The sequence below is a fragment of the Homo sapiens genome, chromosome 8 (genome assembly GCF_000001405.40).
Source record: "Homo sapiens chromosome 8, GRCh38.p14 Primary Assembly".
Lineage (NCBI taxonomy): Eukaryota > Metazoa > Chordata > Mammalia > Primates > Hominidae > Homo > Homo sapiens.
Genome location: NC_000008.11, coordinates 68,800,717 through 68,819,694, shown reverse-complemented (window position 1 = coordinate 68,819,694; position 18,978 = coordinate 68,800,717). Strand labels below are relative to the sequence as shown.

Below are 18,978 nucleotides of genomic sequence, written 5' to 3'. Positions count from 1 at the left end.
ACCACTTCCCTCGGTGTCTGGTTTTCTTTATCTTTGACAGCACCTTCAGCAATACACATTCTGATATCCTGGGGGATCTGATTTTTGAGGCTGATGAGGCACTTAGTAGGGTAACTATTTCCAGGAAAAGCTCAGTGAGCAAGAAGAGGATGAAAACCAACCAGGCAATGGTTGGAGGAAAGCGCGGCTCAGATGAAAACATTAGGAGTGACATTTTTTAAAGAAAGAATATTTCTAATAGAAAAAGCATTTGGATCCTCAGTTAAACAATTTCGAAGAAATATTCCTCATGGCAAGGAGTTTTAAATAGAAGAACGTTCTGGTCCCCTAAACTTACTCTCTTGCCTTCTCTCCTTTCTGATTAAAAAATTTACTGTTTCTAAACCTTCCTTTTTTCTACCTATAAAACATACAAATTTTATTAAAATGAGTCACATGAGTTTCTATACACAAGAAAATGTTAATGTAAGAAAAATTATTATATTATTTGATTTAGGGAATTGACTTAATTTATACAATCTGAATTATTTTTATTCTTTATCCATGTTCTGGCCTTTAACAACATTTGTTTCCTTGATATAGTTCCTTGTTATATAGTTTTGTAATTTAACTTTATGTCTTAAAGGTCCAGAAAGCAAACTTAGATTAAGACAAATAAAATAAAACAGACAGTAGAGATATCAATAGATTTACTTAGATCCATTCACTTAACATCAATGCATAACACATTCCAAAAGCGAGCATATATTAAATTTAAAATGGATCATCTTAATTGGGTTCAATAATTGGATAAATGGTCAAACGATTTTCATTTTCTATGTTTTGGGCCATGCATTTCATTCCTTATTGATTTGCTTTACTTAATTAACATATCAATTATTCATTTTAATAGGAATAGAGAAAATAATCATGAGAAAGAGCAGTGGTAGAGAATATACTTCTCACTGCTGCACACAACATGTATGGCAGGTGATGATACCAAACAGCTAATTTCTGCAGAGACCTAAATGGCACATCTTGGCACATGTGGATAAGTAGAATGTTTAGTAATCTAAAAAATGAGAAAATATTATAAAAATAGAAGAAGTAGAAAACCCTAGACAAGTTAAAATACAGAAAAATTTTAAGCAAAGTTATTTGAATCAGGCAATATTTAATATATCAAATATTAATCTTAATAACTATTTATAAAGTAATCTAAACCCAGGACTCTAACCATGTCAAAAGGCAGCCGGCCTCCTGACCACCCCACAATCCTTTGCCAGGATTAGTGTTCTCTGATTACATACTTGGGCACCCCCTGGCTACGATAGTACTTGTTTATTATTGAGATTATAAAAATAACCATTCTCTAAATGATTACACATAGTAAATAAAATTAGAACTATACATAAGGATTTGAATAACTGCATTTCTTTAAGGACCACTTGCAACTTCTTCTCTCTGTTTCACAAACCTGCAGAGGAGAAATGAAACAGAAGAAAATGTGCTTAATAACATGTTTACATTATAGCATATTAAAAAGAAAAATTGTGATTTTAATGCTTTCCTCTATTCCAATGAACTTTTGAAAGGATATTGACATTAGAATACTACCTCTATTAATCATATTTGCAGCCAATATATCAATTTCTGATATCTGTGTAAAATTCTAATCACATTAGATGGTGATATGGTTAGGCTTTGTGTCCTCACCCGAATCTCGTTGAATTACAATCCCCATAATCTCAAGGGAGATACCAGGTGGAGGTAATTGAATCATGGGTATGATTTCCCCCATGCTGTTCTCAGGATAGTGAGGTCTCACAAGATCTGATGGTTTTATAAGGGGTTCCTCCCCCTTCACTTGGCATTTCTCCTTCCTGATGCCTTGTGAAGGTGTCTTGCCTCCCTTTTGCCTTCTGCCATGATTGTAAGTTTCCTGAGGTCTCCCCAGCCATGCTGAACTGTGAGGCACTTAAACCTCTTTTCTTTGTAAATTACCCAGTCTCAGGTATGTCTTTATAGCAGTGTGAAAATGGACTAATACAGATGGCAAGGGAAAATATTCATGTTTCTAGAATATTTTACATGTTTTTTCTGCTTTGTATCATAGTTATATTTAATATTTTTGATTCGCCAATTAGACCATAAACATTTTGAAGGAAGACCTTCAATCTCCATCTTACTCACATTACCTGAAGTAATGCTTTGTGTGTGGCATTGGCTTCGGAAATATTTATTTGATGAAAGAGAGGGAGAAAAGTTAGAGAGGAAGAGAAAGAGAGGGAGAGTCTGGTTGTTTTTGCACACACTTTTTATTTATCTGGAATGCTTTACTTACTCCAACTAACCCCAGCTAACTCTTTTATCAACTGCATATTACATTCCTTTAGGCCTTACCCTTAGACATTACTTTCTCTTGACCCTTTGACTACTAGTCAAGATAGAACTCTCCTGATATGCATACTTATCCTCATGCTTCTATAATCACCATCAGCGCATTTTCTGTAAATAGCTGTTCACTGTGTTTCTTCTCCACAATTTAGTAAGTTCCATGATAAGAAAACCTATGATAGGTGCTGTATCACCCATGATAATGACTTGTGCTATTCTCTGACAGTAGTTCCTGATCCATTATAGGTTTTAAATATGAATCATATGAGTGATTTACTTGGTTAGAGCTCTTGAACAGAACAGCAGTATGCCTGTATGTCATACAAAGCACACTTGATGGGCTGAGGAAGAGAACCACGTGATAGTTGTGTACCTATATCCTTAATATATATCTCATCCTTCATAATGGATTCATAGCTTTCTAATATACAGATTGCTATAGTTTTTCTAATCAGTCTCTTTTTTGGTTATTAGGTTGTTTCTATTTTTTACATGCTTTCCGTGTTCTCTTGTAAAACATTTTTCATGCTTTATTATAAAATGTATGGCAATGAACATAATATTCTGATAGCTATATCATAGTACATTGAAGAAATTATTTATTTAGATAATGTCCTAATGCAGAATTATTGACTCAAGAGCAATTACAGCAGAGCAAAATTAAATGAGCAGACAAGGGTAACAGTAAACTCCCCATTACTCAAGGTGTTTATGTAGAGTCTGGGTGACCATTTGGTAGGGGTATTGCAGAGAAAAGGCTAGCATTAAATTAGGGAAGGAGTAGCTGGTTCTAAGTTCTTTCCAGTTTGATATTCTGTGATTCTATAAGTGGTAAGGACAATCTCAACACCTTTGCTTTTCTCTGGAACATACTTAAGAGATGACAAAGTGTTTTATTTTTTATCTTTGTGTATCCAGTTCATAAAGTAGCCTCATATTCATGGACACGAAATTGTTCTGAGATCCTATAACTGCAGGGGATATATAATAGCATCATAGAGTCCATGGCCTGCATGTGGGAGAATATGTTTTTCAGCTCATATCTATCTAGAAGATATTATTTTTCCTGTCAAGGAGAAAGGGTTTAAAATCCCCATCCTCCCACCTTAGCAAGGGAGAGTGCAGACTAAATGAGAACTCCAAAACCTATAGAACATGCACACACACACACACACACACAGAGAAACACACACACACACACACACACACACACTCTTAGGAAATCTTATAATCTTATGCAGGATACTTGGAGAAAAACCTATTCTCATTAGAGGTCATGAGGACTACGTACTTTTTTAATACAAATCCTGAGCAGTTTTAGAAGGTACCCGCCATTACCCGACATCGATATTAAGTGCCCTGAGCAAACATACCAGAGTAGACCAGCGTAGGACAAGAAGAGCATGGAACGCAAAGAAGAAGATCAGCGGAACCTGCACAACAAAAGAAACAGAGATAATATGCCAGGCCAGGAAAAATCATCGATTAAATACCATTCCCTAGCGCTTTAGCCAATTTCTAGTGAAGATTAATTGAAATTAATATTAAAACTACATTTATAGTATGTACTGTGCTGCCATTCTGTATTTTAACTCCTTAGAAGTGTGTATATCTTCATTCCATTATTCAGTCATTTTCCACTTAAACCTCCGGTAATTTTTCCAATAAAATGTAAGGCAAAATGCCCCTCCAGATAGTGTTCTGGATATGTATGTAGTCTGTGTGAAGATCCCATATGAATTGCAGTCATAATTGTGATGCCCAAGGTGGATTAGGCAGGAAAGCCATGGTCTGCTCTGCAGACTGCTCCCCTAACACAGCTTATTCAGCCCCAGACAGGTACACGCTACTTATTGTGATGCTACAAAATTATAAATTAGTACCATATTATCAAGAAATATGATTTCATGAGGTAGTATATATATGTGTGTGTCTGTGTATGTGTATATGTGTATATATATATATGTGTGTACCCATATATATGCACACACACTATATTGTCTGGTTCATAGCATTATAGGCTAAATGTGATTCCTCTAAACCCAGCCCTGAGGCAGAAGAATATAAGACTATCTTTGAAGGAAGGGAAAAGTAGTACCTAGTGGGGAAATGGGGCATGACTATTCTAGTTCAAAAGAGTGACAAAATAAAACAGAGGGTGAAAGCAGATGAAATAAGAAAGATAAGCATTTCCACATGTCTCGAAAAGAATGGAAATAGATTAAGTCCAAATTTTCCACAGCATCTCTTGGAACACTAGCCCTACAAGATGTTAATCTAGATGATTCACAAACAAATGGTTCATTGGTCAAATAATTTTGGACAACATCATACTATATCTGATTTTTGAAGCATCGAAATATACAACAGCACATTTAAGATTCTTAGAAGTCCTACACTAAGGAAAATGATTTAACCTGATATTTAGCAAAGTTATTTTATAGTAGATTTTTATAGAACAATCACTTTTAAAAATCCTATAAAGCATTCATTGGTTAAGTGCTACTTCAACTCGAATGAAATGGCTTATTGATTTGGTTGTCATTTCATACATTCTGCAGAAAAATGGAAAAAAAGCATGGATTTTATATTAAGCTAGAACTGAGTTTAAATCTTATCTTCACCCTTTCCTATATATGTCACTTTGAGTAAGTTAGCATTGCTCAGCATCCTTCACAGAGGATGGTTCTAAGCAAAACACCTTTGGAAGTATCAAGTAATGGGTATTTAACATTTTTCGGTATTAAAATTTAGATGAATAGGAACTACAAAAAAATATTTGGATTGAAGGTGGAGGTTGTATATGGAAGGTAGATGCTGGATACAGCTGGAGAACTTGGTGAATTGTTAGAAATCTTATACATGGAAGGGTTTGAAATAAAATAATGATGTATTTTTGTTCTAGTGTTCTTTGCCACCCAAAGACATTAAAGGTGCTGGCAAGGGAGTGGTTGAATTCATGCTCTGTATTAGTAGTTCTTAAATTTTAGAGTGTATAAGAATCAGCCAGAGGGCTTTTTAAAACACAGGTTGCTGGGCTCCAACATCAGAGTTTCTGATTCAGTAGATCTGGGATGGAGCCCAAAGAAACTGTGCTTCTAGTAATTCCCAAGAGATGTTGATGCTGATACTGCTTGTTTGAGAACTTCACTTTGAGCATCACTGTTCAGTGTAGCACAGACCTTAGAGTGAAGGATGAAGCTAGCTGTGGTCTTACATACTTGGAGATAGATGAGTAATCAAGTGTCTGGGTACCAAAACAAGACTGAAGTGCAGGTTTAGTAGAAAATGAGGAATTGTAAGGGAAGGAGGTTTGTGACAGATAGCAGATTACAGTAATGTAAGACTTTAGAGTTGGATGCTATTTCACATTTGATAAGAAAAAAGTATATACAGCCTATGAGAATAACTAGATTTGAGAAGCAAGGAATTATAATGGCAGGATATTGGGTAAGTCACCCAAGTAGCAGTTAAAATTTTCTGATGAAAATAGTTGCGGTAGAGAGGAAAACAGTGAGCCCGATGGAAGCATCTCACAGGAATGAAGAAAAGTGATTGGTAAGACTATAGTGACCAGGATGAGAACAGAACAACAACAAATGTTAGGAGCCTTAAAAAAGGAATTTCAGGTAGAATGTTGATGCTATCTCATGGTGCTTGGCACAGGGCAATGGAGAGAAGCAACAGCTTCCTCTGGAGGAGGCTAACAGGGACCCAATGTTTTCCAGGAGGAAACCATTTCAAATAAGACCAAAAAAAAAGCATGTAAAGTATTATTTTAATACCACTGAAGAACAATCAATTTGCCAATCAAGTTCCAGTCCCATAGAGCATGGTGCAAAGATCTGGAAAATATTCAACAGTACAAGTGCAGGAGAAGACTTTATTTTGATTAGAGTGTGGGGCAAGGGAGGGTGGCCAAGGATAACAGAGAATAAAAAAAAAAAAACAGAATTATCTGATTTCAAGTTTCTGAAATAACCTTTGACATAATGCTTTTCTTGCATGGAAATCACTTAGGCATTCAGCCTGGTACTGCTTCCTTTTCTTTTGAAGTAGGACTCCCCCTATACTAGGGATAGCCCATTATTTCCTATACTTGTGGGAATGTAAGAAATGAAGCAGCTTTGATGGGGAAAACAAATAAGAGAGTGGCCATCAACTCTGAAAATAAACATAATATTATGGATTAGAACACTATTTCTTCTTGAGGATAACGCCATATGCTACAAGTTTTTTCAGAGAGAAACAGCAAAACAAATCACCTAAGGCAATACATGACAAAGCACGTGTTGGGATTAAAGTGAATTCTATGTTGATGCACCATGTTCATTGCAACTCTGATGAACTATGATTACTACAGAAGAACAGCACATTGAACATATGATATGTCATTAAACACATCCTGTTTTCTATCAGATATCAACAAACCACTTATTACACGCATGTATCTGTGTTTCTAGAGGTTATGACCTCCCTGAATAAACAGAAGATAAAGATAGAGACTGAGGTGTGGCCCCTTCTCAAGTGATCTTTAAAAGTTACGTAACCAATTTGAACTAAATTTATTCATTTATTCATTCATGAAGTTGATTCAATAAATATTTGTTAAGTAAAAAAATTATGAACGCATAAATATCTATTAAGTATATGTTGAACATTTACAATGAAAAATAGGGATTTTAAGATTAAACTTTTCTTAATAGGCTAATTTTTTATAATTAGGTAGAAGTGATGTATAAACTATAAAGCCTTATATAAGTGGTAGAAACCTTAAAAAAAATTTTAAAGTTTTAAAATGGATAATCCTATGTGTCCTAATATGGAAGAGAAAGTCACATATAATTTATGTCTAAGAACACAAGAAAAAGCTATGTTTTTGGTCTGAAGAATGTTTAATTATACTAAAGACGATATACAGTTTTGAGATACTTAGTCAACATTTCAAAACAAGTCATTTTGAAGTAATTTGGCAGCATGCTTTGAACAGTTGTTGTACTTTTAATAGCTTACCATGGGATTGAAAACATACTTAATGTAATTACTAAATGCTATTTATTTTATTCTGTCAAAATTCTAATTTTTATGTTTATCATATATGGCTCCCTTAATTTTCTGGATGACTTTGCTTGTAGATAATAATTTGGAACACTGTAAATATAACTACATCAAGTTGAAGTTTCTATTAAAAGCAGATTTTCTACTCAAATGTATTACTGCTTCAGTTTCTTTATATGTTGTTTTCCCTTATGTTCTTATTTTATAGTGTTTTCTTTATGTTAAAACTCTTTCAGTGCAGAGTGAGATCATTCCTCTCTTGATGTTATCTTTACACACATCCCTCCCACCCTGAAAGGATTATTTAGCTTTTAGGGACACAGTGAAATTTCGGAGTGGAGGATCTGGTCTTGGGTTAGATTCGAATTTAAATTGCACTTACTAATTCTGTATTCTTGGGAAAAAATATTTAACAAATCTGAGTTTGTAAAATCATATTAATAATACCCATACAATACATTGTCACAGGGATTAAATAAGATACCACTACATGGCACATAACAATCAAAATTTAATAAATGTTACTTCTGTCCCATTTCCTCCTCCTTCAGAAATGCATTTGTTTCTGTATAAGCTTTAAAACGTCAATGGCTCATAATAGGCTTTAAGGAGAAATGGAATGCTATGATTCTAAATATCTCTCCAAAAGAGATTTGGCGGATCTATTTAATGTTAGTGATTGCAGCAGTGGACCATCTGGAGCGGCTGCTGCGAAGACACCAGCTGTAGTAGGGGAGGCGTGGCCAGGGATGTGCACTCCATGGAGCCAATGGGAGCTGGGAAAAGGTGGAAGCTGCCTGCGTCTGAGTTGGCAGGGTGGGAGCCCCGCCCAAAGGGCACAGGTGCAGCTGTTCAGTCACGGCTTTGGACCCAGGCATCCTTGTGCTCTTGGGGGCCCAGGAAGATCACCTGCCCCTGCAGGCTCGGAAGTGACTGCTCCCGCTGCCTGGCCTCTCCCCTACTCCTGATGCCCACTCCGACCTCGGAGCAAAGTTGTGGCTCAGTTCAGGCACTGTCACAACCCAGCTGGGTGTGCATGCACTTGGGGCAGAGCTGACATGTCAGCCCCCTGCTGCCTCAGCCCCCTCCAGATTTTGAGCACCGACAAGCACGGGAGAAGGGTCGAGGGGGTGCTGAGGGCAGCTCAGAGCAGGCCTACAGGCGCCCTATGGCACAAACAACCTGGGCACCATGGGCACCGTGAATGGCAGGTTGATGGCGGCAGGAGGTAGACAGGCTCCAGGGCAGAAAGTGCTGGGTCCCCAGTAAAGCTCTACCTTTAAGCTGTGCATGGACTGAAGCCTGGGGGCTGGGCTGCCAGTTCTGCAGACCAGAGTGAGAACTTATGATGCTTCTCCTAGGCGCACGCATGGACCAGTCAGTACACACTTCCTCCCTTCTGAAGCCCATAAAAACCTGGATTCAGCCAGACTTGGTCAAATGTCGGGACCACCTGTCTGTGGAGAGGAGCTACCCACTGTGGGTCTCCTCTCAGGCGAGAGCTGAGCAGATGTCAGGATGACCTGCCTATAGAGAGGAGCTACCCAGTTGGAGTCTCTGGAGAGCTATCCTGGCACTCCATAAAGCACTTCTTGACCTTACTCACCCTCCAGTTGTATGCGTACCTCATTTTTCCTGGATGGAGGACAAGAACTTGCAACCCCCCAAACAGCAGGACTGAAAGAGCTTTAACACAAACAGGGTTGAGACATGCCCCTCACTCACCACCTTGCGGGCTACGAGAAGTAGAGAAGAGAGAAGGAGAGAAGAGCTGTGGCCCTTCAGGGACCCCAGAAGTAGGAGCTCCCTGAGCCAGAGCTTTGACACCCTCTTTGGGGCTCTGTGGTTCCTGGCATCTCCAAGATTACAGGCACCACCACATTCTTCACTGCCAGCAGCAGAAGCTGCTTGCAGTATGCCTAGTCCAGCCGCAGCCTCAAAGGAGACAATGTCCGTGCTGGCACCTGGAGCTGCCTGCCCTGCCGCAGCCAGCATGCCTGGCTGTGTGTAGTAGCCAGACCCTGTGCCCGCTCACTCACGCACCCCTTACTACTCTGTGCCTGGCTTGCCCTTGGCAGGCATGGGATCTGGGAGGGTAGCACGAGCCAAGCACAGCCTGCCAGGCCAAGCAGGCAGGATGAGACCAGCAGGCTCAAGCAAAACTAGGCAAAGATGCCACTGGCCACAGAGGTTTCCAGCTGGTGAAGCAATACCCCAAAGATCCCCAAAGATTGACATTAGGCTAGTGTCACTTTTCTCAATTTATTATTCAGTTAGCTCTCCATTAAAATATATGCTAACTCAGTAAGAAAAAAGTATTATGTCACACTTTTGGAGCTCTGTGCTTAGAGCTCTTCTTTTTAATCGTCACATGCCATCTTTATTATGCCTACACAAGTAGTTTCTTCAGCCACCATATCTATCCTCAGACTACCTCCAATGAGACCATGCCAGTCAACTTCTATACTAGCTCAAACAATGGAAATACAGTATAACATCTGCTCGAGGGAATAGTTTATTCATTGGTTTTCTTCACTTAAGTCTGAAGTGGAGGAAAAAGGAGGTAGGTTGGGATTAATGATGGTATAACACTGGGTCCCCCATTTAGGAGTATGAAATATTTACATGATGAAAATCCTGAGTAATGGGTTCTTTTTTGTTTTGGAGTCTCACTTGCTAAATTGCTCAAGCTGGACTCCAACTCCTGGGCTCTTGCCTCAGCCTCTCAGTAGCTGGGACCACAGGCATGCACCATGGCTGGCTCCAAAACCCTTTCCTCCAGCTTGGGAGAGCACCTAAGAGCATTGCATAAGACAAATATATCACCTATGAACTCATCTAATAGAGAGGTCACTCTTTTTGCCCCAAATTAGGACTATAAAACCTTTCCCCTGTAGTGCTAAATTGTATCAGAGGCATAAATTGAATGTAGAAGCCATAGAATAATTAAGAGACACAGAAAAATGAGCTCTAGTTTTACAGGTGAAAGAGAAATCATTTCTAGTTAGTAAGTAAAAGGCAGAAAGTATTTAGCAGAGAACCCTAGAGGAGAGCATTTGCCTTTACTATCATGTAGTTAGTATATCCCTTATAGTTAAAATCTGACAATTGGGCAACTGTAGATGCACTTGAGTGCAAGCCCTTTCTCTGCAATTTACTAGTCTGGGACCACCGGGAAGAAGCAAGACCTTAGCTGAGTCTTCTGACTTCCAGGTTTTTTTCCACTTCATGATAGCCTCCAGAAAAAGGAAATGAGCCTCCCACTGAGAAAGTTAAGTGGCAGATGTGTATGCTCACAAAAAAGGGTGAATCATTAGTAATTACAGTGAACACTTAAGTGGCTGGCAACAAAACTATATAAAGGAGTAAGAATATTATGTCAATAATTACATCAGTAAAAGTAAATAGAAACCTAATAATAAGCAAAAGACTGAAGTCCTTGTAGGAGAGCAGATAAACTAAATATAGTTGTCCTATGGGTTCCAAGACCCCTGCGGATATTAAAATCCAAGTCCCTTATAAAAAATGGCACAGTCCCTTATAAAAAATGCTCAAGTCCCTCATAAAAAATGGCACAGTATTTGCAAATAACCTATGCATATTCTCTCATATATTTTAAATAATCTCTACATTACTTATAATAACTAATACAGTATAAATGTTATGCAAATGTTTTTATTTTTTATTTCTTTATATATATATATATTATTTTTTGATCTACGGTTGGTTGAATCTGCAGATGCAAAACCCAGTAGATACAGCAGGCTGATTGCATTGACGCTCTTTTCATAAATAGAAACCATTTTATATGGTACATACTTAAAAGTAAAAACTTAGAACTAATATTTATCAAGCACATACTATGTTTGGCAAAAATAAAAACCATTAGAAAGTAAATATTTTCCTACTGCATGAAAACAAAATGCAATAATCTGAATATTTAATGGTTCTGCCCAAATTTATTGAACTATATTAGAGTGTAAAAATCCCTATCCAGTAACAGCAGGATAAATTATTTGGATAAAGCATTTCACTGAAAGTGCATAGAATAGCTGGATAAAATATTTTTTAAAAACCTGTGTGAAGGCACCAAACATCTATCAAAGCAGTAAAGTATTAAATGGCCAATATCCCAGATAATGAAGAAATAAAAAGAAATGAGCACAGAATTTGGAGACATGCTTCCTCTAAAGGTATCTACCAATTCCAGAGAGACTCCTGAGAGGCTGAGACCCTAAAGAAGGGTTGTAAAATCCTCCCAGGCTAAAGGAAAAAAAAAAGTGGAGTTGTAATCTTACTGAGAAATGTTACCCAAATAAATTCCCTAGGTTTTAAGCTTCTAGGCCGAAAGGCCACACTGGAGGAGTAAGGGTAAAATGGAAATATACCAGCCCTCTCAAGGAATAAAGCCCAACTTAAAATCTTTTTTCTTTTTTATTTAATTCAAATAATCTCAGATTGTTAGTTTCCCTGCACCTCTGCTAGAAGCAAGATAAAATACTCTCTAGAAGAAGATAACATCATCCTAGGCCTCAAATTATCTTTGCAACATATCATATATAATGCTCAACACTTAATCAAAAATAAGCAGACACACATGATGACAAGGCCATGTGTTCTAAAGCCAAGAAAAAACACCAAAGAATAGAAACACCCACAGGAATCACATAATGAACTTATCAAACATGGATTTTAAAATAAATATGCTTAATAAGAAAATTAAAGATAATATCTAGAATTTTAGAAAGAAGTAGAAACTACAAATGAACCAAATAAAAATGCCAAAATATAAAAAAACTACAAGTCAATGTATATATTAAACAGCAGATTTGATAGCATTTAAAGAGGGAAACACACTACATTTATTCAGAATTATACTCAGAGTTAAATGGATGAAAATATGTGAGCAGGAACTAAGGGGAATTATTTTGCATATAGTTAGAATGTCTAGCATATGTGTAATTGAAGGCTTTGGTGATTTTAAAACATAGTCTTCAAATTCTTTTGTTTTCCCAAGTGGTAGAACCATGTCCATTGACCTTGACTGTATTACCTACAACTGCTTGACCAAACAAAGATGGCAGAAGTGGTGCTGTGAGTTTCCAAGCTTAGGACTTAAGGAACAGGACTTTTCCACTTCCTGTCTTTATTCTTATAATCTAGCTACAATCATGTGAAAAAGTCCAAATATTTCATGGAGAGGTGCATGAGGAAATGTCTACAGGAGAGAAATCAAGGTCTTTGGCCTGCAGCCTTGAATAAACTCTCAGCCAACAGTAACCACCAATTCACTAGACATGAGAGTTAACCATCTTGCAAGTGTATCTCCAGCCCCAGGTAAATCACTGCAGCTGACACGTCATGGAAAAGGCATGAGCCTCCTTGTTGAGCCCCGCCCAAATTGCAGATATATGTACTAAATGAGTGAGTATTGTTTTAGACCACTAAGGTTTGGGGTGATTTGTTAGGCAGCAATAGCTGAATGGAAAAGGAACCAAAACAAGACTCAAAAGAGAACAAGGCACAATCCACAGCTACCAAACATATAAAAACGATAGATTTAGAAGCACTTTGCTCATCCAAGTCTAATACAAAGAACCTAGGATTAAACTGAGCTTAATAACATGTAGGCACACTATGATAAAACTGCTGCAAAAATAAAAGACAAATGGAAAATGTTAACATTTGAAGACGTAATAATCTAACAGGTGACTAAAAATATTATTAGTAGTAATAATCTACAGGTGAAAATAAAATGACAGATATCATTTTATCTTCTCAACACAAAGAAAAAATGATATCTTTGACGTGCTGAAAGAAAAAAAACTTTCTTGATTTTTATACTCAGTGAAAATATCCTTTAAAAGGAGAAATTGAGAAATTTCAGGCAAAGATAATTCACCACCAGTAATTACAAACTAAAACAAATCTTTTTTTTTATTTAGGCAGAAGAAAGGTGATCCAATATGGAATTTCAGAGATATTGAAAAAAAGGAATAGTGACAAACAGAATAAAACTGGGAAAATATAAATGGATATTGGCAATATTTAAAAATAATAATAAAGCCTTATGGTGTTTTAAAATATACAGGGGATTTAAATACATGCCAATACTCCTATAAAATTCGGGATGAAGAGATACAAAGCTAAACATTTTTTAAGTTTTACAAAGCTAAAATATAAAAGGACCAATTGACATGAGACTTTTCTACATTAAACAATACATTGTTGCAATCTCAAGAACAACTATCGAAAGAATCTTAAAAGAGTATATAACCTTCAAGCTAAAATAGAATAAAAGAGCAATAACAAAAAAATTATCCCAAAAAAGGCAAGAAAGAAGGAAAATGAAAACATAATATAGTGGAGAAAATAAAATATAAAGTATAAAGTAAGTTGGTAATATAGTAAATTCAAAAATAAGTATAATAATAATTACACTACGCACAAGTAAACTAAATGAGTTAAACAGAAAGGACTGCTAGAATTGATTAAACAAATAGCCTAACTACATGTTGTTTTTGAAGAGAATTGTCTGATATATGTGATTACAGAAATAATGAAAAGTTAGAGAATAAAAATCATATACCATACAAACCAATTTTTAAAAAGCTGGGGTACCAATGTCATAGAATGTGGAATTTAATGCAGAATTATTTGCTAGGGATACAAGGAAATATCTCCTAATAATAAAAAGTTCAATTCACCAGGAAGATACACTTTTAAATTTATATAAAACTAATATAGCACCAAAATTTATAAAGCAGGAACTGATACAAAGAGAAACAGTTAAATCCATAGTCATAGCAGGAGGTGTTGACACACAGCTCTTGCTAACTGATAAAACAACACCCCCCAAAACATACAGTAAGAAGACGGAATATTTGAACAACACAATCAGCCACCTCTACCTAATGGACACATAAAGAAAACTCCACCCAACAACAGCAAAATACATTTTACCATTGTTTTCCTAGAACTTGGTGCTTCTAAACATTTGCCCAAAGCTGGTCATTTACTGGATCATTAAGGAAGTCTCAACACATTTCAAATGATTTAAACCATCCATACAGAGCTTGTTCTTTCAACAAAATAAATGCAGGATGAAAACAAAGCTGGACTTAGAGGAAACATTTAAAACTTAAACCTACATATCAGAAAAAAAATGCAAGCCTGAAATTCAATGAGGCAGGCATCTGCCTTGTGCCAGATATCTTCTATTTTTCTGCCAGATATAATTTCTGTCTTTAATACCAAGTTCTTTGCTTCAGGGGACTGACGTTTGTGGTCTATATCAACAGAATTCCCAAACCCTCTCCTTATATGTAGGTTTTGCCATAAGGAGCCTCAGCTAAGAAGGAAGGAATGGAAGAGAGTAAAAATTGAGGGTATTTATTCTGCCTGAATCCTTCCTCATCTTAATCTAGCTTGTCTTTTAATATTTATTTATTTATTTGTTTGTTTGTTTATTTATTTATTTTGAGGCAGGGTCTTACTCTTGTCATCCAGGCTGGAGTGCCCTGGTGCAATCACAGCTCACTGCAGCATCGACCTCCCCGGCTCAGGTGATCCTCTTGCCTCAGCCTCCCAAGTACCAAGTAGCTAGGAATACAGATATGCACCTAATTTTAAAAGTACTTTTAGTAGAGATGGGGTTTCGCCATGTTGCCCAGGCTGGTCTCAAACTCCTGGGCTCAAGCAATCTGTCTGCCTTGGCCTCTCAATTGAAGGTTATAGTTAAAGTTAAATAGATGAATTAAACCCAGTTGTTTTTCTGAAATTCTATATGCAATTAATAAAGGGGATACTTAGCTCTACCATATTGACTGATGAAAATAATATTATATTTCTTCAAGGGTATTTATAAAATTCTTGCATCTGATTTGATTTATAAAAGCATGTTATTTAGCACTTAGGTATTAAATCTCTAGCCAAGATGCTCCGAAAAGTACAGAATAAGTAACATCTGCTATCTGTCCTCAGGGGTATTTTATTTTAATTGAGGGGAAAACATGAGCATTATAAAACAATTGCAAAAGTTTGAAGATGGCAGATTTGGCTCTTAATTGTTAAGTTTCAATACATAGGGCCTTAAATGAGAAAATGACAGCAAAGTTGAGGAAAATTGATTTGCAGTGGCATCAGTAAGGATGCTTTGTTAGACTGCAATTATTCTGAAACTAGATTCATTACCACTGCAGATACATTGAAGATGTTACTGATGATTTTTTTTTAAAAATTGTCAGTTGACAGTGAACCTTTCACGAACTACCAAACTAAATTCTCTACATAGAAATGTTTGTAATAAGTGTTCATAAGCAACACAAAAATATTATTCTAAGCTATTAGAAAATCAAGAACACTTTCAACACTGCCTATTTTTTAATTTGTGAAATGTAATATGCAAAAAAGTACTACAAAAAGTATAATTCAGTTAAAAAAAAATGACCCACTGATCACCATCTAAGTTAAGAAATATAATTCTGACAGCCCTGAAGCTCAATCATTATTACCTGCACAAAACTATCTATTATCTTATATGTACGCATTTACTTGCTTTTCTGTATATTTTAACAAGGTATCAAAGCATATTTAAAAACAATTGTTTAGATTTTTCCTGATTATCGTAGAAATTTTGGTCTCATTTGATTATCGTAGAAATTTTGGTCTTTTAGGTCATCCCTGACCTAAAAGAGAAATGCTTCAGTAATTCATCAAGTATGATGTTTGCTGTAGGATTTTTGGAAATACGCTTTTTTTTTAGATTAAGAAATTTTTCTTACGTTTCAAAGCCACTGAATTTTTTGTCATGATTAGATGTCAATATTTATCAAACACTTTTTATGCATTATTGACATTATTTATCTCATTTATTATGCTAGTGTGGCTAATTTCCTGATTAATTTTCAAAAATTAATCTGGTAATACATTTCTGCAATAAACTCAATGTAGTAGGGATGTATTACCCTTTATACATGATAGGAATTGGTTTAGTACCAATTTGTTTAGAATTTTTATATCTATGTTCATAAGTCAATTGGCTTATTTGGCAAAAAGTTTTTCTTTCTTATAATTCTTCTGTTATGTATTGGAATCGAGGTTAGCTAGTCTCATAAAATGGATTGGGAAGTGTTTCCTCTTGTATTCTATGGAAGTGTTTGCATAATATTAGAATTATTTCTTAAAAGTTTAAAAGAATTCAGGCCCCATATGGGCCTGAATATATTTTAATATGAGGTTTTTAAATTATTAATTTAATTTTTAATAGATATACGACTACTCAGATTTTCTATTTCCTGTGTGTCAGCTTTGGTAAATTGTATTTTCTAGAAAGTTCTGTGTTACATTTGAATTTTCAGGTTTGTCTAACAAACTTTGAAAATATGTATCACTAATACATGTAAAATTGAATGCACAAATATATTCTTCATGGTATTATTTAAAATGATTTTAGGCTGGACACGGTGGTGCATGCCTGTAGCCCGAAAACTTTGGCAGGCCCATTGCCTCCTAAAGAGGCAGATTGCTTGAGCTCATGAGTTTGAGACCAGCCTGGGCAACATGGGGAAACCTTGTCTCCACAAAAACTACAAAAATTATCTGGCATGGTGGCATACCCCTGTAGTCCCAGCTACTCGGGAGGCTGAGGTGAGAGGATGGTGTGAGCCCGGGAGGCAGAGGTTGCAATGAGCTGAGATCACACCACAGCTCTCCAGCCTCAGCAAGAGACAGAACTTGTCTCAAATAATAATCGTAATTAAGTTTTAAATGGCATATGAACTGTAGAAGAGTGATTAAATAAGTTATAGTACATCCAGATAATAAAATGCTATGTACTTATTTTAAAAATCATCTTACACCAGCTGGGCATGGTGGCTCACGCCTGTAATCCCAGCATTTTGGGAGGTCGAGGCAGGTGGATCACCTGAGGTCGGGAGTTCAAGACCAGCCTGACCAACATGGAGAAACCCCTTCTCTACTAAAAATACAAAATTAGCCAGGCATGGTGGTGCATGCCTGTAATCCCAGCTACTCGGGAGGCTGAGGCAGGAGAATCACTTGAACTTGGGAGGGAGAGGTTGTGGTATGCCAAGATTGCACCATTCCATTCCAGCCTGGGCAACAAGAGCAAAACTCCATCTCAAAAAAAATAAAAAATAAAGAAATTATCTTACAGAGGACTATTTGACAATATGGAAAATATTTATAATATAATGCTAAAGCCACTTTATAAAGCTGTATATAGAATGTATATTATCATATATTATTGTATGAATGATTGTATAGATGATCTCAGGTGTGGATATGTATGTACGCACATGCCTGTGTGAGAGAGAATGCACATGAGAATCTTTTTTTTTTTTTAATTACTGCATTAAAAACAACACAGTAATCACAGAGGGTATTTTGGGATGGTGAGATTATAGGTGATTTTAATTTTACTATTTATTATTTTTCCTTATTAAACATATCCCCTTCAAATTAAAGCATCGTATTTCCTCTTTCCATTAGATAGATTCTGAGAATTACCTAAATGCCATCAGACAAAACTAATTTACCTTAAGTTCTGAATGTGAATCTTTGTGGACTTAATCCTATCAACACTATAGAGTATATTTGTGAAAGAAGCTGCTGGTTAGCAGGAAGGATTCAGACACTGTTAACATTTTTTAAATGCAGTATGACAGTATGAATTGAAAACCCTTGGGCAGCTAGAGGGAAACAATTTTGGCTAACAAGGAAAACTTATTACCTTATCAGAGGGTAGAGATAGCAACCTTAAATTCTGACCAAGGTAGGAATGGAAGGTAAATGAATGAAACAAATTGGTTGGAGAACATTCTGGATTGGGAGAAACCATGGCAAACTGGACAGTATGTTCGGCTCAAGCTAATTCTTACTATGAGAGAAGGCAAGCCTAGTATTGCCGTATCTTCTGTTTTTCAAAGAGAGTATCCAAACTTTTTGAGATCTCCTAATTTTTAAATGTTAAATTTATTTTTGTTAAAAGATTGTTCTGGCCAAACAAAGCACATCTGCAGACACACCCAGCCCATGGGCTGGTAATTCATAGTCTCTTCTTCTTAAACATTACAATACAAAGATAAACAATCACTTAGTGCCTTTTGAAACCCCAGCCTTAGCTATCAGCTTGAGCCCTGGGAGAGGCTTTTAACAAAAGCAGTAAGCCATTCCAAAATAGCAGTTTTTCTCAAAAGTTATATCTAAAATTAAGAAAGAAATCTCAATTAGAAGAGAAAATATGTAAACATAGCCTCATAGACAATAAATTCCCTGAATATCCCTCCTCTGCATATGCATTTATTTTTCATTTAAAGAGGCCTAATCTGAATTCTTTATTTTGGATTCAGAACACCAACACTGAAGCAAAAGAAAAGCCGAAGAACGTAGAAAGCAGAGTGTGCTAACTTCTGTAGAATTTTATTTATTTCTGACCTCTTATCAACAAAGTAGCTAAAGAGCCCTGAAAAGTCACTGTCATTCTTTTGGGCTTCAGTTTCCTCACTTGTAAAATTAAGAGGT

At 36.3% G+C, this 18,978-nt stretch overlaps 1 protein-coding gene across 9 annotated transcripts in view; it reads right to left on the bottom strand.

Annotated features, from left to right (window-relative positions):
* The window catches only part of C8orf34 (chromosome 8 open reading frame 34), a 488,651-nt gene continuing 470,344 nt past the window's right edge, over positions 672–18,978 (bottom strand). For 7 of the 9 annotated variants that reach the window (NR_146186.1, NR_146187.1, NM_001349477.1 and 4 more), the window contains 2 exons: positions 3,750–3,809; positions 672–1,456 (listed from right to left, as the gene is read on the bottom strand). Coding sequence is in view for 7 of the 9 variants with exons in the window: in NM_001349477.1 (NP_001336406.1) it covers positions 1,449–1,456; positions 3,750–3,809 (68 nt within the window). In the remaining 2 variants the exon portion in view is untranslated. The remainder of the gene's footprint in view (positions 1,457–3,749; positions 3,810–18,978) is intronic. The other 2 variants (XM_047421328.1, XM_047421329.1) reach the window with 1 other exon arrangement.